Source organism: Homo sapiens, chromosome 17 (assembly GCF_000001405.40).
Source record: "Homo sapiens chromosome 17, GRCh38.p14 Primary Assembly".
Lineage (NCBI taxonomy): Eukaryota > Metazoa > Chordata > Mammalia > Primates > Hominidae > Homo > Homo sapiens.
The window spans coordinates 27,854,167-27,878,067 of NC_000017.11; the positions used below are offsets into that span (position 1 = coordinate 27,854,167).

Consider the following 23,901-nt stretch of genomic DNA (forward strand, 5'->3'; position numbering starts at 1 on the left):
TTGTTTTATTTTTGTTTTTCTTGAGAGAGAGTCCTGCTCTGTTGCCCAGGCTGGAGTGCAGTGGCACAATCTCGGCTCACTGCAACCTCCGCCTCCCGGGTTGAAGTGATTCTCCTGCCTCAGCCTCTGGAGTAGGTGGGATTACAGGCGTGCTTCATTCCAGCCACGTGGCCCTTCTTGCTTCCTCTAATATGTCTATTACAGGTCTGCCTCAGGACCTTTGCACTTGCTATTGCCTCCATCTGAAATGCTCCTCCTCCAAATATCCTCATGACTCACTCCTCCATTCATTCTCTGTTAAATGTCACCTTACTTAAGAGACCCTCCCTGAAGACTCTATTTAAATGGCTCCCCAGCTCCATCTTGCTCTGCTGCTCCACCTTGATTTATTTATTCTCATGGCGTATATCACAATCTGACATAACACGTATTTGCTCATTTTTATTTATTTATTAACTGTATATTCCTTCCCCCAACAACTATCAGAATGTCAAGCTGGAGCGAGCAGGAATTTTGTCTGTTTTATGCACTGATGTATCTCCAGTGCCTAGAACAGTGCCTGCACATACTGAACTCTTAATCAAGAGTCCTCGATCTTACTGAACAAACTCAAACAATTATTACAGCGTGCCTACTAGGGACCGGGCACAGTGCTGGGCTTCGGAGATACAACGGAGAGAAAAACAGACATGGTCCCTGCCTTCATGGATCTCACAGTACAGCAAGAAAGACCAATAGTAAGTCATCAGAGAAATAAAATGGGTAATAGTTCCTGGGCCTACAAGAAGTACAGTCGGCCCTAAGTATCTGTAGGTTCCCCATCTGTGCATACAGCCAACTGTGGATAGAAAAATATTTTTTAAAATAAATAAATAACAATAAAAATAACAGTACAACAATAAAAATGTAAATAATAGAATATAACAACTATTTATATGGCATTGACATCATATGAAGTATTACAGGTAATCTACAGGTGATTTAAAGTACACAGAAGGATTGTGTACATTCTATGCAAATACTGTGCCATTTCATATAAGGGACTTGAGCATCCTAGGATTCTGGTATCCATGGGAGGTCCTGGAACCGGTCCTCTACGGATACCGAGGGACAACTGTACACAGAGCTGGGGAGCTTGTAACTTAGTCATAAGGGACCTAGTCATGGAAGTGAGAGAAGGGCTCCCAGAGGAAATGGTGATTGAACTGAGAGCTGAAGAGTGAACAGTGGCTAACCACGTGAGGAACAGGGAGAAAGGGACATCTAGCCATGTGGCATTTCATGTACAAAGACCCCATGCGTGGAAGGAGCTTAGCATGTTTGAAGAACTAAAACATGGTGAGATTGCCTAAGGGTGGTGAGTTGGGCAAGAGGGAGGCTGCAGTGGGGCTGGGGTGAAGGCAGGGCACTCTGGGGCTGGGGCAGGCAAGGTGGCGATGGCCAAGTAGGGACTGGCCTTTACCTTATGAGAAAAGGGAAGCCACTCAAGGGTGAGCTCACCTTTTTAACCACCCAGTGTATGTGGAACATAATAAACACTCAATAAAACACTAGGCTAGGCATGGTGACTCACACCTGTAATCCACGCACTTTTGGAGGCCCAGGTAGGAGGATTACTTAAGCCCAGGAGTTCAAGACCAGCCTGGGCAACATAGTGATACCTCATCTGTAGAAAACAAACAAACAAAAAAGCCTGGCATGGCGGTGCACACCTGTGGTCTCAGCTACTTGGGAAGCTGAGGTGGGAGGATCACTTGAGCTCAGGAGGTCAAGACTGCAGTGAGCCATGATTGTGCCACTGCACTCCAGCCTGAGCAACAGAGTGAGACCCTGTCTCAAAACCAACTAACTAAATAACTAACTAACTAAATAAATAAAACACTTGTATGTTGAAAACACTCTTAGATGTTAGTGGCAGTGTAAACTGGTCCCATTTCTCTGTAGGGCAATTTCAGCACATCTTTCAAAATTACAAATGTGTATACATTTTCACTTAGCAATTCTGCTTATAAGAACTTATCCTACAGATGTTTGCCCATGTATGAAAAGACATTTGTACAGGGTTATTCACTGCTGTGTTGCTTATAATAGTAGAAGAATGTAAATAAACCAGCTGTCCCTTAATAGGAGATTACTGAAAAAGTTGTGATATCTCTATGCAGTGGACTAATATGAACCATAAAAAAATGAAGACTTCTATGCATTGTTTTGAAAAGAACTCCACGATATATTAAGTTTTTAAAAATCAAAAAAGAGAGCACCAGAAGAAAAGATGTACAGTTTTTCTATACATACCATATCTCTGAAAGGAGGCATAAGAAACTGGTCTGTTACTTCCCTCTAGGGAGGGAAATCAGACAATTGGGACTGGGTTAGGAGATCCTTTTACTGAATTCTGAACCAGGCAAATATCTTACCTATTCTATATAACAAAATAAATTTACATGATAGGAATTATGGATTAAATAAACTAATGAGTTAGAAAATTAATTTATCTTTTAAACAGCTTTCAGCCAAAACTCCCCTCTGCTATTCAGACAGAAAGGATTTAGGGAGTCCTGGCCCCTACCCCACTCTCTGATTCCTGACACAGCCCCCAAAGGGAATCCACCAACAGAGGGGCCTTTGGAAAGGGAGGTTGGATGAAAGTATTTGTTTTGGTCAATTGCATCATTTCCAGGAAAGGGCCTCCATTTTACCTTGAAATCAGGCTGTCTCAGGACCCCACAGAAACACAGTTCGGGGACTTTCCCAAACTTGTTTAATTAGGCTTCTTGCTGAAAAGCTGCGCTGTGGGTCTCTAAAGCAGTAACTGGCCTCTAGAGATGCAATCATCTCTCCACAGGGAACTCTCATGAAAAAGTCTGATACTCAGTGCTTTCCTGAATAAAAATAAGCATCCAAAAGTATTTGCAATATCAGGAAAAGCAGAACAAAGCGGGTAAGGCTGGAATGTCTTGAGCTTCTCAACTGCAATGACCAAAGAGTTGATCTGTGAGTTCTGATTAAATTCCAGTAAAAAGGGCACTTGACAGTGAGGGCCACTCAATTTCATCACCCTGGCTTGATGACAGAGGATGAAAGAGAGGCCAGGGGCTCACCTCCAGAAGGAGTTTCCTGTCCCTCTGGGTGGGGGAAGTAGGCTCCCGGTGCTGATGAAGGGAGGCTGCTGTGAGCTGTGCCCTGGAGTCCCCTCTAGGAAGTCTGAGGCACAGACCAGGAGAGAGGGCCTAGGAGGGACCAGTAAAGGACGAAGCAACAGAAAAGAGTGAGAATAAGTGAAGGATGGGAATCTTCAACCCGCAGCCTCTGTTTGTTCTATAAAGTGGTCATTTGTATAACAATTCTATGGAGAAGGATTACTGCCCTCAGCCCCCACCCCCATTCTACTGATGAGGAAACTGAGGCTGAGACAAGTGTACTCGCTTGCCTAAGGTCTCACACCTCACTAGTGTCCAGGTCAGGATACGAGCCCAGGTCACTCTGATGCCAGGATCCCTTCTCTTGCTTCCAGGGCAACTTTAATATAATCAGAAGAACCCATGTTTGAGTCAACAATAAACATTTAGCTCTGAAGAAACTGTGCCATTTTCCTTTTAAATATTATATCTTAATATGCTATTGGTACAGGCGAATAATTTCCACCGCAAAAACAAAGAAGATGAATTCCTCTTTTTTTCTTTCCTTCTCGCCTCTCCTATGAGCTGGAGGGGGAAACTCAAGTCCTTTTACCAGTTGACAAGACAAAAGAAAATACCCAAGATCCCCAGCATAGCCAGAGTTCCTCTTGGAGGCAGGATCAGACTGCTGCAGCCACTTGGGCCATTCTAGATGCCAAAAGCTTTCCTCAGGGACAACATTTGGAGTCAACACCAGTATATTTTCCTTGCTGGGGCTTTCTATAAACTGTGTCTTTCGCCTCACCTGAAGACAAAACTGGGGAAAACAACCTTACCTTAGCCATGCAGACTTGGATTAGACACAGCAAAGAACTTCCTGACAATGAGTGATGGATGTGGGATCAAAATATGGGTAATTAAGGAAGGACAGACTTGGAATAAGTTGGTTGGTGATATGGTTTGGCTGTGTCCCCACCCAAATCTCATCTTGAATTGTAGCTCCCATAATTCCCACATGTTGTGGGAGGGACCTGGTGGGAGATAACTGAATCATGGGGGCATTTTCTCCCATACTGTTCTCGTGGTAGTGAATAAGTCTCATGAGAGCTGATGATTTTGTAAGGGGTTTCCCCTTTCGCTTGGCTCTCACTTTCTCTCTTGTCTTCTGCTGCGTAAGACATGCTTTTCACCTTCCGCCATGATTATGAGACATCCCCAGCCACAAGGAACTGTGAGTCCATTAAACCTCTTTTTTGTTATAAATTACTCAGTCTTGGATATGTCTTTATTAGCAGCATGAGAACAGACTAATACAGTTGGGAATGTGCCGTGCGTGTAGTCTAGACTTAGTGGATTGAGGTTGAGCTGATTTGTTGATTATCTCTCACCATCTCCTGCAAGCACCCTGCCATCTAGTCTGAGTCTCCTCCCAGGCCCACATTTAATTATACCTCTAGCTGACCCCACCATCTGAAATGCCTTCTCCTCAGGTGAGACAGGACTGCCTCAATCCTGTCTGCCTTTCAAGGTATAGCTCAATTTCCTGGGTCTGCTCGAAGCTTTCTCTGACCACTCCAGCCCATATCAATCTGCCCCTCGGAATTCTAGGTAGTCTGGGCCTTAGTCATGGTCATCTGGGTAGAGGGTAGCTGGTTCCTGGGAAGCCGGATGGGGGTGTTGTTATCAGAGAGAGAGGGAAAGGGCACGGGAGAGAAGAAGGAGTGACTATCATAGCTGTCTATCCTGAAACACAAGCTACATGATGATTGTCCACTCTGCCATGAGCCTGCCACACCAACCACATGACAGCTGTCCACTATGCCATGAGCCTAGCTTGCCTAGCTTAGCTACAAGACAACTGTCCATGCTGCTGTGAGCATGCCACACCAGTCACATGACAACTGTCCGGTTTGCCTCGAGTCTGCCACATGCAATCATTTGACCCACATTTACCTTCCAGGTGGGCTCTTCTGGGAAGAGGGGTCCTGAAAGCACACATACATATTTGCCAACAACATTTCCCAAACAATGTCAAATCACGAAGTTAGCACTCTGAGGCACACTCATGTTATGTTGGTTTGCAGCACAGCTAGCTTCTCTAGCATCCAATCACCCTGCTACAGTTATATGTTACCGCTTGAAAGATGCACTCGCATATAAGATTTCGTTTTATCCTCATAACAACTCCATAAAGCCCATCTTATAGATGAGAAAACAGACTCAGGCAGAGTGGGTGGTTTGTGCCAGTTCACATGGCTAAAAGGCAGCAGAACTAGCACTAGAGTCCAACCTCTTCAGCCCTTGGCCAGGGCACTTTTCATGATACCATCCATGCTCATCCCCAACTCTGCCCCCACGAGGTGCACACAGAGTGGGCATTCCCTGTATTACCAATTGACAGGTGACCAGCTGGTCAATGTTGGTGCCAGTTAGAATTCCGACTTCTGACCATAACACAGAAATACTCCTACTCATTCACATATTGGTCTCGCATTAGTATTCTATTGTCCATATACCCTATACGAGAGCATCAGATTCACCTCAATTATTTCCTGCAGTTCACACCAAAAGCAGGAGATGGACCAGCCCAGCACACCAGGCTCCGGGTGCCATGCACCTTCTGCTATCTAAGCTGAGCCAAGAAACCCCAAACTGTCCATCTCTAGTCACTCGGCTGTCTTGGATGATTCCTGACCTGCCCTCCTTCAGGCTAATCTCAGCCAGACCCCAAGAACTTGACTCCAAGTTTTTGCTAAAACAAGCTTGCCTCTGTTCTCTGGTCTCTCCAGCATCTGACTCTTGGCTTTTCCAGATAGACTTTGGCTTGGTCTTGCTTCCTGGTACCAGAAAACAGGGTGCAATGGGTCTCTACATAAATTAATTAATGTTTTCAAGGTGCTTGGAACAGTGGCTGGCACATAGTAAACACAATATAAGTGTTTGCTATTGTTATACCTGCTTAGAATACTACATCCCAAACACTTAATCCAGGCTTCCCAATCCCTTGGTATAAAGTCCCAAACCATTGCACAGCTCTGGCTGAGCTCTCTGAGGTCATCGTCCATGACTCTCCTCCTTGTGCTCTGAAATACCTCGACTTCCTTTAGGTCCATGAAGATGCTACACCCTTTCCACCATAGAGCTTTGCCTTGCTGTTTTCTCCATTAAAATACTCTTCATTTCCTGACCCCATCCCGCTTCCATCCCCCTGCCCAAAAACACTCATCGTTCAATTCTTAGCTGGAATCTTACTTCCCCTGGGAGATCTTCCCTGTGTCCATTCACCGCTCCACCCATCAAGATTAGGTTGGATCTCCATGTTACACTTTCCTATAGCATCCCTTAGTGATTATTCTAAATGGGCATATAGTTGCTTCTTTCATGTTTGTCTTCCCCCTGGACTGTAAGCCTCATGAGAACAGGAACCGTATTTAAAGATGCATTACTGTCTCCTCAGTGCCTGCCACAATGTTTAGAATGACTAGGGGCTCAAAAACATATTGAATTGTATTGAACTGAATCAAGATGGAATGAAAAATGATAGTGGCATTGATGCCAATGAAAATAATGAACTTAAAGCTTACTGCGCTATTATTTATTTGCTAGATTTGTCATGACCTGCTGAAAACCAGAACCTTGAATCCAATCAGTAATTAAAGGGTGAAGAATGGAGGAAACAAATTATAAAATCAATACTTCTTTGGGCAACAGCATCTTTAACTATTGCTACCATTTCATTCATTAAAGCTGAAAGGGAGAGATGAGGGTCCCGGTTATCAGGGATCAAATGACAACCAGCAAGTTACTCATCCCTGATTGGTCAATCCAGAAGGCGCTGAACTTTGCCTTGTACACAAAGACATTGCCTGGCATTATCAGTGCTGCCATTTGAGGAGTGTTGAGATTATCTTCACCAACCCAAACAAATGTGAAACAATGCACAAGGAAAGTAAAGGGAACAACAGCTCACCCGCCTTTTCACAGTGATGGTTTCTGTCTTCCAGAGCCCAAGGTTCAACTCACTTCCAGTCAACAGGGACCCACCAAGTCCCTCTCTCTGCCTACAACTGTTCATTGAGTAACTTCTAATTTGGATGATGAGCACTTGAGGGCTCACTCCACAACATCCATCAGTCCTGATTGTTCCTAGTAGTTTTTCCCACTGACAGCAGCATCATCTACTCTCTATGAGGTGCCCTCTGGGGTCTGACTCAGGCTGGATGACACAGCTGGGTGATTGATTATTTTGATGCAGACACACAACTTTCTGCAACTGTATTTCTGCCTTCTGCTTCCCAGAGCCAGAACCTTTCCCCTCAACTTTTTCTTTTTACTTCATCCACAGTGGTTGTGTAAGGGGTTTTAGCCACCCATAATTCTATCAGGCCACTCCAAAGCAACCTCATATAAATATGCAGTCCATAAAAAGCAATAAGAGGCCAGGCACAGTGGCTCACGCTGTAATCCTAGCACTTTGGGAGACCAAGGCTAGCAGATCACTTGAGGCCAGGAGTTCAAGACCAGCCTGGCCAACATGGCAAAACCCCATCTCTACTAAAAAAAACAAAAATTAGCTGGGTGTGGTGGGACACCTCTGTAGTCCCTGCTACTCAGGAGGCTGAGGCAGGAGAATCACTTGAACCCTCAAGGCGGAGGTTGCAGTGAACCAAGATCAGGCCACTGCACTCCAGCTTGGGCAACAGAGTAAGACTCTGTCTCAAAAAAATAAAAATAAAAAGCAATATGAGTGCTGCCCAAATGAACTTGCTGCTCCCCTTTCAACCTGACTGCTACTCCAAGTCCCTTCTATCAGGAGTCATATGTCAGCAGGCAAGTGACTCATCTCTGATTTGCCAATGCAGAGGGTGCTGAACTCTCTGCCCTGGGTACAAGGTATTACCTCGCACTATCAGTGATGTCATTTCGGAACTGCTGAGAATGAACAGCCACCACCGCCCATAGTAGCCACCACCTGGCCAAAGAACCTGATTCATATGCAGCAAATTGACAGAGTGTTGGAATCACACAGACCCAGTGTCAATCCCAGCTGTACCACCTTATGTCCGTAAGAAACTGGGCCAGTCCTTCATTTCTCTGAGCCCCAGTGTCCTCATCAGAAAATGAAAACGACAGCACCTCTTCATGTGGTTGCTGCCAGAATTTGAGATAATATACACCAAGTACCCACCCAGCACCTGGCTCCATGTTAAGAGTAATATCCACTAAACATATGTAGAAAAAGTGAGCATTAGATGAAACAAGTGCAAGGAATTTTGCACCAAGAGATGACAGAATTCTTAGGGAGAAATCCATGTGACCTGCAGATAGAGTTCAAGAAAGGCTTTGTAAGGGGTCAGCATTTGAGCAGAGCCTTGAAACAGGGGCGAGGCATTTGGCAGATGGACTGGGGGAGGAGGGCACGCCAGGCAGGGGAACAGCACAAGCAGATGCTAGGAATGGAGCCCAAAGCAGCCGTACCTATTTGGGCAGGTAACACAATGCAGCTGAAGCACAGTGGGCAGTGGGTGGGAGCCTCAGGACAGGAGGCTGGGGCCAAGAAGGAAATGGGTTGGAAGGGCCCTGCAGAGTCACTGCTAAGTTGTAGGGATGTACAATATAGCCAGAGTCTTGTCAGCAAGGGTCATGTCAGGATAAATCAACTACAACAGCAATTAGATAATGGAAAAACGAATATCATATTTTCAAACTCCACCATTTAAGGCTCTCTGGGCTGTTGGAGACCGTTACATCATCTGAGAGGTGGTTTCTTAATCAGAGAAGGAGGCAGCCCTGGAGGGAAATAATGCTGAGGCTGAGTTAGGCGAGCTGAGTCCTCTGGAGGCATGTTATACAGATGCGCCAAGGACACTGTGAAGTCCAGGTCTCATCAAGTCCTAGAGGCTTGGCTGCCAAGTCAGCCCCCAAAGTAAAGTCACAAGTCCTAAAAAAAACAACCTTGGAGATTCTCTCTATTCAACCCTTACTGTGTTCTTACCACACGTAAGACCTTGCTTTTGGCCTGAGAGGCACAAAGATGAACAGAGCATGGTCAGCCTCTGTCCCACAGGAACTTACAGTGCAGCCTCAGTGCCTGGCCCAGACTGGCACCCACAGTGACTGCCCGAAGACTGGCAAAGACCAGCACAGGCTGGGCAGGAGAGGCTGGGTGAGGCTCTCAAAAACCAGAAGCAGGGTGACTACACTCCAGGAGGGGGGCCATGGGCCCAAGTGCCTCCTCTCCACTGTCCTGATGCCTAGGGGCCTTTCCTCTGTTATTATACAGAGCCACGCTTCACTTTTACCCATGCTGGCGGCTGTCTATAACAATATATAAATACTGAGCTGTTTTTCATTAAAGAAAATTGGGGCAGGCGCGGTGGCTCATACTTGTAATCCCAGCACCTTGGGAGGCCAAGGCAGGCAGATCGCTTGAGCCCAGGAGTTTAAGACCAGCCTGGGAAATATAGTGAAACTCTGTCTCTACAAAAGAATTTAAAAATTAACCAAGGCTTGTGGTGCACACCTGTAATCCTAACTACTCAGGAGGCTGAGGTAGGAGGATCACTTGAGCCTAGGAAGTGGAGGTTGCAGTGAGCTATGATGGCACCACCTCACTCCAGCCTAGGTGACAGAGCAAGACTCTGTCTCAAAAAAAGAAAAAAAGAATGAAAAAGAAAAGAAAATTGAACAAATCCAGAAAAATAGAAGGAAAAATTACCCAGAATTTTAGCACCACTGTTTTGATGGCTCTCTCTTTAGTTTCTCTCTCTCTGCATAAGCAAGTTTGTTTTGATGTTTTATTTGTAAATAATCACACTGTATATTCAATTCAATTTTGTGTACTACCTTTTCTCAGGAGCATCTTGTCATAGACAGTTTTCTTTTTATTAAAAATTATTTTGAAATTATCAGTCTTACGAGCCTCATGACATTTTATCACACAGTTATATCGGAGTTCACGGGTCCTGTACGTTTGCTGCACTGAGAGCTGTGTAGTGTCCCATGGCGGGCACAGGTTTTGTGGTTAGGCAGACGCCCGTCCTCTCCAAATCCTATTCTGACACTTAGCTGTGTAGCTTTTAACAAGTTACGCCATCTCTCTGAGTCTCAGCTTTCTCATCCATAAGACAAAGATATCATAATCACTTTGCATGCTTTTTTTTTTTTTTGAGGATCAGAACTTAATACATGTAAAGCAACTAAATAAAGCAAATTAGATTACTAGAATTGACCAGTGTGTGTCTTAAACTGGAAGATACCAATTGGCCAAGACACAAATCTAAGCAATTACAGTCAGCCCTCCATATCCACGGGTTCTCATCCGCAGATTCAATCAACCTCAGACTGAAAATATCTGGGGAAAAAATGGACGGTTGCATCTGTACTGAAGACATATGGGCTTTTTTCTTGTCATAATTCCCTAAGCAATGCAGTATAACAATGACAGTTAACCCTTGAACAACACAGAGGTTAGAAGCACCAATACCCCATGCAGTGGAAAATCCACATGTAACTTTCAGCTCCCCAAAAACTTAACTAATAGTTTACTGTTGACCAGAAGCCTTACCAATAACAGAGACAGTCAACTAACACATTTTGTATGTTACATGTATCACATACTGAATTCAAACAATACCGTGAGCTAGAGAAAAGAAAATGTTATTGACCCATTTATGCCTGAGGTTGCAATTTTTTGAATTTTTGCAATCAGACCTTGAGCAGTAGGATATAAATAACTCCCACATGCTTAGCATTCCAATAATGGAACACTGGGCATAAATAGTTAAGAAAATAAGGAAGAGAAAATACATTTCCTATTCACTGAGTGGAAGTGTATCATCACAAAGGTCTTCACCCTCACCATCTTCATGATGAGTGGGCTGAGGAAGAGGGGGAAGAAGAGGGATCTGTCCCACTGTCTCAGGGGTGGCAGAGGCTGAAGAAATTCGTGTATAAGTGGACCTACACAGTTCCAGCGTCAGCCGTATTTACATAGCATTTATATTGTTTCAGGTATTATAAGTAATTTCAAGATGAGGTAAACTATACAGCAGGTTGTGCATAGGTCAAATGTAAATACTATGCCATTTTTAATAAGGGACTTGAGCACCTGTGGATTTTGGTATCTGTGGGGGCTACTGGAACCATGCCTCGGGGATGGCTGTACATATAATTTAGAGCCAAACACAGGCACAGGCACAAACAGGTTCTTTTGGAGTGAGAGCCCTGAAAAGAACCAATAGCACTTTCTAGGCAGCTATTCCAAGGGTAGTGGTGTAGGAGGAACCACCAGGCTTTGGAGCTAGACAGTGCTGGGTTTGAATCTCACATTTACCCTAGTATGTCATTGGGTGATTTGTTTAACCTCTGAGCCTCATTTTTTTTTAATCAGTGGAAATAATAAACTATGACTTTGTGAAGATTCAGTCGAATGAACTATGGCATGAAAAATGCTTGACACTGTGACCAGAACAGATGCTTAATGAATCCTCCCACCCCTCTCCTCCCTTAGGGCCTTTCTGGTTTTCTGGTGCTGAGATGATGAACACTGGTGCTCCTCCTGGATTTGCCCCATACCACCCCATTCAAGCCTGTTTGTGCTGTGGTGTCCCTCACTATGCATTGGGGACAATAACCGCCATTGCCTCCTTCACACAAGGGACAGGCAGTCAACAGAAAGAACAAAAGGGGCCAGGCATGGTGGCTCATGCCTGTAATCCCAGCAATTTGGGAGGCCAAAGTGGGTGGATCACCGGAGGTCAGGAGTTCGAGACCAGCCTGGAAAACATGGTGAAACCCCGTCTCTACTAAAAAAAAAAAAAAAAAAAAAAGGTTAGCTGGGTGTGGTGGCGGGCACCTGTAATCCCAGCTACTTGGGAGACTGAGGCAGGAGAATCACTGGAACCTGGGAGGCAGAGGTTGCAGTGAGCCGAGATCATGCCATCGCACTCCAGCCTGGGCAACAAGGGTGAAACTCTGTCAAAAAAAAGAAAAGAAAAGAAGCTGGGAGGCTCCTTTGAGAATTTCTTCCCATTCCCCAGGCCGGGCCCCCCAGTCAAGGCTGGGCGGATAAGAGGATTCAGCCAACCAACTCCAAGAAGGGACACCCCAGGGACACTCATCATAGGGTCTCCTGTCCCAAGTCCCTTTCTTCAGTTTTCAATTATAGTCTTTTACCAAAAAATCCTTTAAGAGGCTCTCTTGCTGGCATTCCTCTTCCCTCTCTTTCCTGCCTCTTGTCCCCTCCCTTATCCCCCTCCCTTTTCTTTCCTTCTCTTACCTCTCTTCTCCTCTCCCCTTCTCTCCTCCTTTGCCTTTCTCCTCTCTTTCCTTCCTCCCTTTTCTCTCTCCTCTCTCCCCAACTTCCTTACCACTGTTTAGTATTTCCCCTCTTGCACCCCCTTTTTCTTACATTCTCTTTTCTCTTCAAAAAGAGGTTCTTGAGAGGGCAGAGCCCCCAGACTCTCTATCAGCCAGGGTTTGGTGTGGAGAACAGAAACCACTCTAGGCATTTCAAGAAGGGGCTCACTCCAGGAAATTAGGTTCATAAAAACCCATCAGAAAGCTGGAGAAGCAATGGTCAGGGAAGCCACTGCTGGGCTTCAAGAGATCCGGAAGCCACTCCTGCTGTCTAGGCCAGGGGCCAGAGGAAACCATACCTGGTGATGACAGCTACCCAAATCACCAGGTGGGAGAGCCACATGGGATCCGGAGAGATGCCACATCTCCTGTCTGCCAAAGCCCACACCTCTGCCTGCTGATGCCGCCACCTCCCAAGTCTCACACAAGGGCCTCCTGAGAGGCTAGCCCAGGAGGAACTGCCCAGCAAGAGAGGGCAATAGGAGGGGACCCGGAGGGCATGACCAAGACTAAATCCTTGAGGATCAAGAGAAAGAGTACCCAAATACCAATCTCAAGCCCAGACAGCAAGAAACTCCAAGGTCTAGGGTGGAGATGACAGAGACTGGGAGCTCGGGCGAATGGCATAGGAATTAAGGGCACTGGCTTTTAATTCAACCCCAGTTCCCCTGCTCACCAGCTGTGCAAACTGCTTTACTTCTCTGGGCCTTAATTCCCTCATCTGCAAAGTGGGACTTATAATAGCACCTACTTCTCAGAGAAAATTGAAGTAAACAAAGCACTTAAGGCCCAGTGCCTGGCATGTAGTAAGCACTGAAAATACAGTAACATTGTACAAATCATTCCAAAGCACCTGTCCCACCTTCTCTTTGTCTCTACCATTAAGAGGAAATGATACAGAGGGGGGCTACCTGCTAACTTTTGTTTTCCTTGCAAAACCTGAAAAGGTAACATTTTCAAAAATCCATGTCTGCAGCAATGTCTGACCCTTCTTCATTTTGCTTCTGAAGGTAGAGTAAGTTGGGTGACTGCCCTCCCTTGGCCATGGAAAAAGCTAAGGCATAAAGGATCCAAAATCCTATTGATGATATTTGGAACATTTTCTTTTAATTATACAGTAAATTGACTTCTGGGGGCAGTGGACAAGCCTGTGAATTTTAACACATGCAGAGATTCATGCAGTCGCTGCCACAATCAGGACACAGACAGCCCCAAACACTCCCTTATGAAATCCCTCTATAGTCACCCCTGCCTTCACCTCCACCCCTAACCTCAGGCAACATGCTCTGTTCTCCAACATGGTAGTTTTGTCTTCATGAGACGGTCAAGAATGGCTCTATTATGTGTGTAACCTTTTGAGACTGGCCTCTTTCACTCGGCATAATGCCTTTGAGATTCATCCAAATTGGTTCAGGTATCAATAGTGAGTTTCTTTTGCTTGCTGAATTGTATTCCATGTTTGTGCTGTCTGAAGAGAATATTCAAACATCCTTGATGCTGTTCCTTTGTGAAGCCCACTTTGGTGAAATTCAAAGCAATTGATTCAGAGTAGCAAAAGATGTATTCTAAAAGAATTTTTTGGCCCTGTGTGGTGGCTCGCATCTGTAATTCCAGCACTTTGGGATGTGGAGGTGAGAGGATTGCTTGAGCCCAGGAGTTCTAGATCAGCAATGGGCCTAACATAGGCAGGGCCTGTCTCTACAAAAATATTGGCTGGGCATGGTGGTGTGTACCTGTAGTCCCAGCTACCCGGGAGGCTGAGGCAGGAGGATCATTTAAGCCCAGGATGTGGAGGCTGCAATGAGCTGTGATTGCACCACTGCACTCCAGCATGGGTGACAGAGCGAGAATCTATCTCTCAAAGTAACAATAATATTTAGCCATATGCTCAGCTCTAAAATATTTACTCTAGGAGAGGGTGACCCCCAGAAGCATATAACCTAATTGGGCTGTGCTTCCCCATTTGGGAGATAATCAAGGGAGAGGGGTGCAGGGAGCCGTCACTGGCATCTAGCCCCACTTGTTCCTCCTGCCCCTAGCAGGGTTCAGGGCTGCTTCATGTGGTCTACAGGCCAAATGGATCTTCAGCAACAGCCTCCAAAGCCAAACTCCATGCCTCCATCTGGTGGCCTTGGTCTCAGTAGCTGATACTCTCCTAGTGCCCCACTTGAAGAGGGCTTGCCACAGCCCTGGGCTTCTTCACTGCCACGTGCGCAGTGCTCCCTCCGATTTCACTGGGATCGGCCCATTGATTCCTGTAGGCGCTGGCTTCTCCTGACATGACTCCGTGTCATTCACTGACAGAAGAAGGCCGTCTCCTGACCAGTTATAATTCTTTTATCAGAATCCAGCAGAAAGGGGTCTTGCTCTTACAGTGTATTATAACACCCTTGTTATTTAAAATCTTTTCCATGGCCAGGCACAGTGGCTCATACCTGTAAGCCTAAACTTGAACAACCTAAACATGGACTATTACTTTAAGGGGTCAAATTGGAGGGATCGCTTGACAGGAGTTCGAGATCAACCTGGGCAACATAGCAAGACCTTGTTTCTACAAAAAAATATATTTTTTCCATGATTTTTTGCTTTCTTTCAGTCCCTGACCCAAAGATTTCCAAAAATATGTTCTCTTGGAATTGAGTCAAGGAACAATTTTAGTGTTACATCTCAATGTTTCTTCCAAAATTTCCCCTCCTTCAACTAGTGCCCAAAGACTGACTGACTAAAGAATCTTGTTTCTCTCTTCCCAAAATATGCGTTCCCAGATCATTGTGTATAGTGAATGGTCTCTAAAGATGACCACCATCAATGCCTCCCCTCATTTTATAACCATGCCACTCTTTCCATCAAGAGACAGACTCTATTTCCTCTCTCCTTGAATCTGGGCTAGTTCTGTGACCTGTTTTAACCAATAGAATGAGACAGAAGTTCCTCTCCATTCCTAGCCCTTATGAGAATGATAGAGGCAGGAGGCAGAAAAATGCCTAGGCAGATAGGATGGGTCTCCGGGGAAACCCAACCTTCAAGAAGGAAACAGTCCCAGTAAATCCTCAAACCGGATTGGGAACTGGCTTTCCCATTTGGCACACTTTCCTCTGATTGATCCCCATCCTTCACCTATTTACACATACCCACCCTTTCCTAATTGGTTTTCTACACTATCGTGCCCACCTTTGAGTGGTGTTTTTGCTTTAACCTTTTTTGCACACTCACAAACCAATCAGCATGTACTCCCTATTCTGAGGCCATAAAAAGCCCCAGGCTCAGCCATATTGGGAACCCTCCTGCCTTCAGGTAGGGGAACCACCCCAGTGTCCCCTCCCTGCTAAAAGCTGTTTCATCACTCAGTAAAACTTCCCACCTTGCTCACTCTTCTTGTATCTGCATGCCTACTTCTTCCTGGTCATGAGACAAGAACCCAGACCTAGCTGAGCTAAGGAGCTGAAACTCCTGCATCAAGGATGTGAAAAGGCCTAGGTTCTCATGCTCTCTAATGAAGCCAACCACCATACTGTAAGGAAACTTGGGCTAGACTTCTGAATGAGAAACCATGTGGAGAGAAAGAGGCCACACAGAGGAAGATCAAGGTGCCAGACATGTGAGTGAAGCCTTCCTGAACCTTCCAGCACAGCACAGCCACCATCCGTCTGCAGCAGATCAGTGACTCAGCTGTCACTACATGGAAGAAAGAGCCAATCCAGTCAAGCCCTGGATTCATGTCCCCCAGAATCATGAGAAACAATAAGTCATTGATATTTTATGCCACTAAATTTTGAGGTAACTTGTTACCCAGCAATAGATAACAGGAACCCTGGGAGACAAACCTCCAAGTGTTCAAGAAGCAGCTGTTGCCCTTGCTCCAGCATCTCAGCCCAGGGCCAACTATGTTTCAACTTGCCTCCGCGGCTCCCAGAAAACTTTAAGAATTTTCATGCAAATAGAATCCCTGAAAACTTCTCTCACATGCCCTGACATGCCAGCCCCCACATGTGACATAAAGATGTGACTCCTTTTTTCTCCCCTCAGATTTCTTTTCTCAATTGTGATGGAGATTTTAGGAAGATGTCAAAATGAGTTGGTTCTTCCTAATCAATGAAATAATGCACAAGGGGCAGTGGTCAGTCTGCAAGCCCAAACTGGCCCCAGACAACTGCCAGGGTAGGGAGACTAAGAGCAGGGACCCCTCTTAGGGACCTGCAGGGATCCCCCAAGCGTGGAAATAGAGGAAAATCTTGAGTTCCTTCAAGGGAAATTCCAGGCAAGTAGCTAGCCCTGCAAAGTAAATGAGCATCTGGATAAGCCAGAAGGTGATAGTAGCTTAAAACAGTAGTGAAGGAAGTGAGAATCATGGGATGTTTGGTCCCCCTATAGAAACTAAAGATCACATCTTAACACATGTCCCTGTGTTGTTTGGCAGAAACCTGGACCTCCACCAAATGGATCCACTGGCTCAAAGACGTCAGATAGGGAGGACTAAGGACCAAACTCTGACCACTGTTCTTCATCATTCTAAATTTCTTCCTGAGGGGCCTGGCAGAGGTCACGCCCCTGGGCCAGAACTAATATTCTGCTAATCCCAAAGTTTTAGACAAAACTTTGCCTCTTTAACCAATTGCAAATCAGAAAACCTTTGAATCCATCTGTGACTCCTGGCTACCCCCTCCCTCCTGCTTTGAGATGGCCCTCCTTTTTAGGTCAAACTCATGTATAGCCCCCATGCACTGATTTATGACGTTGCCTGTAACCTCTGCCTTCTCACCTTTAAAAACCCTTGTCTGTAAGCCATGGAGGAGTTCAGGTATTAAGCATGAGCTGCCCCATTCTCCTTGCTTGGCACTCTGCAATCTTGATGCCAAGGTTGGACTTTATTGCACCAGGTGAGTGGATCCCAGTTTGGTCCAATAACAAGACCATGTGCAGTTAACAAGCATGGCAGTTACATTTTATTGACCCGTGGCTGAGTGCCAGGCACTAGCTAAGCACATTATAGATATCATCTTATTGGGTTCTCACAACTTCCCTGAGAGACAGCTATCCTAACATTGAGTTAACAATGAGTTAACATTTGTCTTAACTCATTTTCTGGTTTGTGGGAATCATATATGAGCCAGAGGGAGACACCTCCGTCTAGTCCAGTCCTTCAGCCAAAAAAGATGCCCAGGAAAATTTTGTCTTTTAACCCTGTGCTTCCCAACCTGTTTCATGCCCTGGCACACATAAAAAGTGACAATAAATTTGGGGTACACTGAGACAAGGGGTTGAGGTGGAGGTTCCCAGTTGGAAAAATCCATTAAGCTGCTTATAATCCAAAATGCATTTTCCTAAATCCTTTTAAATCTCTTAGACCTCTGAGAGGGGGTGAGAATAAAAAAAATTTTTTTAACGTAATTTAGTGGAGATAGGCTATTGTCTCTTAGCACCTTAGGAAGAGCAGACTTCAACCTCCAGAAAGGGCCCAACCCAGGCCATGTTCATTCTTGAGATGCAACCTTGGACAAGTGACTTGGCCTCTCTTGGCTTGTTTCTCTCTGCAGAGGTGAGAACTCCCCCATAGGATTATAAAGGCAGGAGATGAAGATGGCATCGGGATTGGTCCTCGGGCCAAGTAGAAAAACTCAACCTCAGATACCCCTGGAGACAAAGACAATTGTTTCTTTCAATAGAAACTACTCGGCCAGGCCGGGTGGCTCATCCCTGTAGTCCCAACGCTGGAAGGCTGAGGCAGGAGGATCGCTTGAGCCCAGGAGTTCAAGACCAGCCTAGGCAACATGGCAAAACCCCATCTCTACAAAAGATACACAGATAGCCAGGTGTGATGGCATGCGCTTGTAGTCCCAGCTACTTGAGAGGCTGAGGCGGGAGGACTGCATTAACCTGGGAGGTGGAGGTTGCAATGAGCCAAGATCGATCCACTGCACTCCAGCCTGTATGACAGAGCGAGACCCTGTCTTGAAAAAAATGAATTAATTAATTAAAAGAAAAAGAAAATAAACTGGTCAAGGAGGAGGGAATTTTCTAGACATTAATGACGGTTTGGGTGGTACCTTCCAGATGCATTGGAATTTATTTGGTTTTCTCCTGATATTTGCTTTCTTTTGCTTTTTAGCCATTTTATTGAGATATAATTCACATACCATCCAATTCACCCATTTGAAGTGCACAATTCACAGATTTTTAGTACAGTCACAGAGTTGTGCAACCACCACAACAATCTAATTTTAAAATGCTTTTATCACTCAAAGAGAAAAAAACCCCATCGCTATTAGCAGTCATTCTCATTCCTCCCCACCCCTACCCCCAGCCGTCCCTAGCCCTTGGCTAATCTACTTTCTTTCTCCATAGATTTGCCTGTTATGGACATCTCATACAAATGGAATCATGCACTACATCTTTTGTCTTTTGTAACTGGCTTCTTTCACTTAGCATGATGTTTTTGAGGTTCACTCATGTTGCAGCACACGTAATACTTCATTTCTTTCTCTTGCCAAACAATATTCCATTGTGTGGCTACACTACATTTTATTTATCCATTCTTTAGTGGAAGGACATTTGTACTGTTTCCTTTTTTGGTTTTTATGAATAAATCTATAAACTTTTGTGTAAAAGATTTTTGTGTGAACATGTTTTCATTTTCCTTGGGTATATACGTAGGAACAGACTTGCTAGGTTAATTAGTAACTCTATATTTAACATTTTAAGGAACTGCCAAACTATTTTCCAAAGTGGCCACACCACTTTACATTCCAACCAACAGTGGATGAGGGTTCCAGTTTCTCCACATCCTCACCAACACTTGTTATTATTTCTTTTTTATTATAGCCATTCTACTGGGTGTGAAGTGGTAACACATTGTGGTTTTGGTTTGTGTTTCCCTGATGGCTGAGAAGCATCTCTTCTGTGCATATTGGCCACTTGTATATCCTCTTTGGTGAAATGCCCGTTCAGGTCCTTTGCCTATTTTGGCATTTGGTTTCCATGGCGTGTTTGCCCTTTTAATGGGAGTGTTAAGCTGGGAAGGTGGATAGTGCTTGATTAATGCTTGAGTTAACACGAGTGGATGAGAAGGGCTCCCTACATTTGGAGAAGCTTTTGTTTGGCTATGAAGGCCTGGGGTGTTTTCCGTGTTCCCTGTGCTCTCCCTCTGTTCGCTTTTAAGCCAGGGTTCTGACCCAGGTTGTGTTCTGACCCAGGTTGTGTTCTGACCCAGCTAAGTATGCAAGGGAAAAAAATAGGGGCTTGTGCCAGAGATAGCATGAAGTCAACACTGCAGCAAAGATGAAGACAAGGATAGGATGTTTGTTTACCTCCAGGCCTGGAGGCTAAGGCTGGATTGGCAAGTTGTCCTCTTGGACAATTCCTCTTACCTTCTCTTACTCAAGAACTTTAAAGATTAGTCATGTTAATAGAAAGATGATGGTATCAGAAAAACATGCCAAGGAATTCACAGTTTCTCAGCCAGACTTGTTAGCAACAAAAGTTATAGGTAGTGGTGTATCTGTGTGTGTGTGTGTGTGTGTGTGTGTGTGTGTGTGTGTGTGTGTGAACTAACGTCTATAAATAGGAAACAACTTTTAGAAAAATAATACTTTAAAAGTTGAGACATGAAAGAAACTTCTGGATTACTGTGTGTAATCATAGCCGCCTAAAACTGATGGGGCCACCCATTTCCAGAAGCCATACAGATCAATAAAAGAGCAAATTAAACCATTCATAACCCAGTCCAGATGGAGATATAGATGGGATTCTCCATAAATAGGAGGTGTTCAATGTTTGTTGAATTAAAGAATGAATGGGTAAATGAATGAATGGCACACTGCAGAGGAAATGGGCACGCCCTACCTTTGGGGCCCAACTGCAACCCATACAGAGCCCTAGCACTTCTCACACTGCATAGTGTGTACGGGATTAAAGGTCTGTCTACCACTGGACAGTAAGTTCCGGAGGCAAGCACTGTGACGTATTCATTCAACAAATGCTTGTGAAGCTCATGCTATGTGCCAGACACTGTGCTGGGTGCTGGCAGGACGAGAGTGGTGAACTAAACCAAGTCCTTCCTGTGGAGCTCACTGTCTATGGACTGATTCTTCCTTCGTGTCCTCATCATCTGCTCAGTCCAGGGATGCAGTAGACGCTAGTAAGTGTTCCTCCTCCTTTGCTCACCAGATTTTTTTTTTGAGACGGAGTCTCGCTTTGTCATCCAGGCTGGAGTGCAGTGGCGCAATCTCGGCTCACTGCAAGCTCCGCCTCCCGGGTTCACGCCATTCTCCTGCCTCAGCCTCCCAAGTAGCTGGGACTCAGGCACCCACCACCATGCCCGGCTAAATTTTTCTGTATTTTTAGTAGAGACGGGGTTTCACTGTGTTAGCCAGTATGGTCTCGATCTCCTGACCTTGTGATCCGCCCACCTTGGCCTCCCAAAGTGCTGGGTGGGATTACAGGCCACCGCGCCAGGCCTGCTCACCAGATCTTTAAAGGAAATATTTGAAGCTGTTCCACTGAAAAACATTTTTTCATTTCTTCGGAGAGGCTCAAAAGCAATCTTGCAGCCTCTGAGCAGTTCATTAGCAGATTCCTTTAACCAGCTCCAACCCTGTACCCTGCTTCTGATTCGTTGTTGAAACCATGTGCCTTTCTGGGGTGACCTTGTGCCTGCCTGCTCCACACGGTGCTCTTCACCCTGTAAGGCACTGTTCTAAAGCCTCTCAGCATCTCGAACTTCAGTCACCCACCCCAAGTTAACAAGTTTACTCCCTCAGGGCAAATCGGCCACAGCTATGGTTCCCCATCATCGCACAAAGGGTGCCTGTTTTGTTTGATTTGGATGCTCAAGTTAATCCCCACCCACTAGGGAGGCAAAATGGACAGGTTCATTTCAAGAGGATGGGAGGAAGGTTGGATTTCAGCACTTGGTAACTTTTACTTTGGGGGAAATCCTCTCTCTGCATCAAGACAAACTTCCTGGAGGAAGTGCCTGCCAACTGTGCAGTGAGGGCAAGTGTTCCCTCCTCCAAAGCAGCTCCCAACCATCGGCGGTAAGACTTAGCCAAGAAATACTCACCATCTCCCAGCCTTTCTCATTACTAGAAAGCAGTGAGAAACAAACAAATGAAAGACAGACATCACAGTTTGCCTGCGATCATCATTCTTTCCATTCAGCCAGCACTTAAGAGCTCACAGCCTGGGCAGCAGACACACAACTGGCCTGGAGGGTTCTGCAACGACTAATACCTGGTTCCTGGCTTCAACGGCTTCACTCTTTGGTGGAGGAGACAACTACATAAAGAGTTGATTACAAAATCGCCCCTTTGGAGAAGGTCCAAACTCCTTAGCAAGGCCTGCAGGGCTCTGCACGATTTGGTTCCCGTGGTGTATTCAAGCCTCATCCCCTCCACCTCCACCCCTATTTTCTCCACCCACCATGATGTCTCAACCACACCAAGCAGCATGCGAGTCCCTGAACAAGTGGTGCTCCTTGGCCTGAAATGCCCCTCCCCCAAGCTAGCAAAGATGCCTCTGTCCCCTTCTCTGACAGAGGTTTCCTCTCTGCAGCAGATCCCAACTGGAAAAAGGGAGATGCCTGAACCTTAATTCAAGTTTTGAAATTTTATTTTCCTGAGACTGGACATTTCACTTCATGCATTGAAACTGTTTTGTGACTTCAAAGTAGCCATAGCTTTGGGTTTTTAAAATTTAAGTCCAGCCAGAAATTTTTGAGGCTTTGTCTCAGTTTTCATCCAGGGACAGGGAGAACAGGAACCTCCAGAAAAAAAAAATACAAAGGAATTGTGAGAGAAAAAGATAAATCTATGTTATGATCACATCCTACGAGCCACAGTTGCTCAACCTCCAGGCAACCCACGTCTGTCTTTCCCTTAGACTGTGAGTCCCTTCCTGCGTGGAGGGAAGACTGTGCAGTAAATGGTCAATGAAGATGGGGTGGGCACAGGGGCGAGAAATGGAACTGCGTAGGGCGGGACAGGCTCTGCCCCAGGAAGCATGTGCTGGTGTAGGACTCAAGGCTAGCACTGCCCCAGGAGTCAGCCTCAGATATGCAGGGTCTTGCAAAGAAGGCCCTTGAGGGTTTTAACATCTGTCTTTTGCTACACAGATAAACCCAGAAACTTTATAATGCAAATGCACCCCAGAAAGGCAATGTGAGTCCAAAGGAGTATCTAAGTGTGGGCAACACGTGTCAAATCCTTTCCTGCTGACATTTTGCTTGTACAGTGGACACCAGGGAGAGCCGCAAGGACCCACCTAAAGAGAAGCATCAGCTGGGCGCGGTGGCTCACACCTGTAATCCCAGCCCTTTGGGAGGCCAAGGCGGGCAGATCACTTGAGGTCAGGAGTTCCAGTCCAGCCTGGCCAACATGGTGAAACCCCGACTCTACTAAAAATACAAAAATCAGCTGGGTGTGGTGGCATGTGTCTGTAATCCCAGCTTCTCAGGAGGCTGAGGCAGGAGAATCACTTGAACCCGGCAGGCGGAGGTTGCGGTGAGCTGAGATTGTGCCACTGCACTCCAGCCTGGGCAACAGAGTAAAACTCCATCTCAAAAAAAAAAAAAAAAAAAAAGGAAAAGAAAAAGGAGAGAAGTGTCATCACCAGGTAAACCAAAGACAAGAGATGGAGGCCACATGGCTGACAGCCCATCTGTGTGCACTGCCGTAATCTCACCAGCCCATGGGATGTGCAACCTGTAGCAGTGAGAAAAGTGAGCCTGACAGGTTAACAAATCTGCCCCAAATCACACCACCACTAAGTGACAGACTGGGATTCAAATTCAGGTGTCTGTATCTCCAGAGCCCCCTCCAGCAGGCCACACTGGCTGACTCTGGGTGAGACCTTCATCTCCTTCTTCCATTTGCTTGGAGGCTACTCTGTAAACCTTCAACTCTATGCATTTGAGAATTGAGAGGAGAAATGAAGGACCCATACGCATGGTCCACGCAGGGCTTGGAGTAGTGGAAGTCAGAGGGCAGGGTGGAAGGCAAGGCTGCTGCTGAGGATGGGAGGCTCTCCCAGGCTTCAACAGTGCCCCTGTGTGCACAGTGCTGTGTGCATCCTGCCTCCCCTACCGTGGGCCCCTGCATGACCGGGCTCACTACCCTCTGTGGCAGCACAGGGGCTGGGGGAGAGCAGCCAACACACTGTTCACCCACCCCACCCCTTGCTGGCTCCCTCACAGGCCAGCCACATGCTGGAGCTAGGCAACCACTGTCTGACATGTGGCAAGTCAGCACAGCTGGACCAAGCACCTACCTAGGAACTAAAGGTCATAGAACCACTCCAGGAGCTGGTCAAGAGCAAACGACACTAACTCTATCCTGAACCCTTGTCAGCCTTCAATCATTTCTCTCCTGTTGGGGAAACATCTGGGATACAGCTGCCCCCACTCCTATGATCACAATACAGCCCTGCC

The 23,901-nt window shown here is 45.9% G+C and overlaps 1 long non-coding RNA gene across 1 annotated transcript; it reads right to left on the bottom strand.

Moving 5' to 3' along the window:
* Nucleotides 1-430: 430 nt before the first annotated feature.
* Nucleotides 431-2,563, bottom strand: LOC124903961 (uncharacterized). The gene is made up of 2 exons (XR_007065681.1): nucleotides 2,296-2,563; nucleotides 431-838 (listed from the first exon to the last, which is right to left on the bottom strand). It is a non-coding gene; the product is annotated as an uncharacterized LOC124903961 (long non-coding RNA).
* Nucleotides 2,564-23,901: the final 21,338 nt, after the last annotated feature.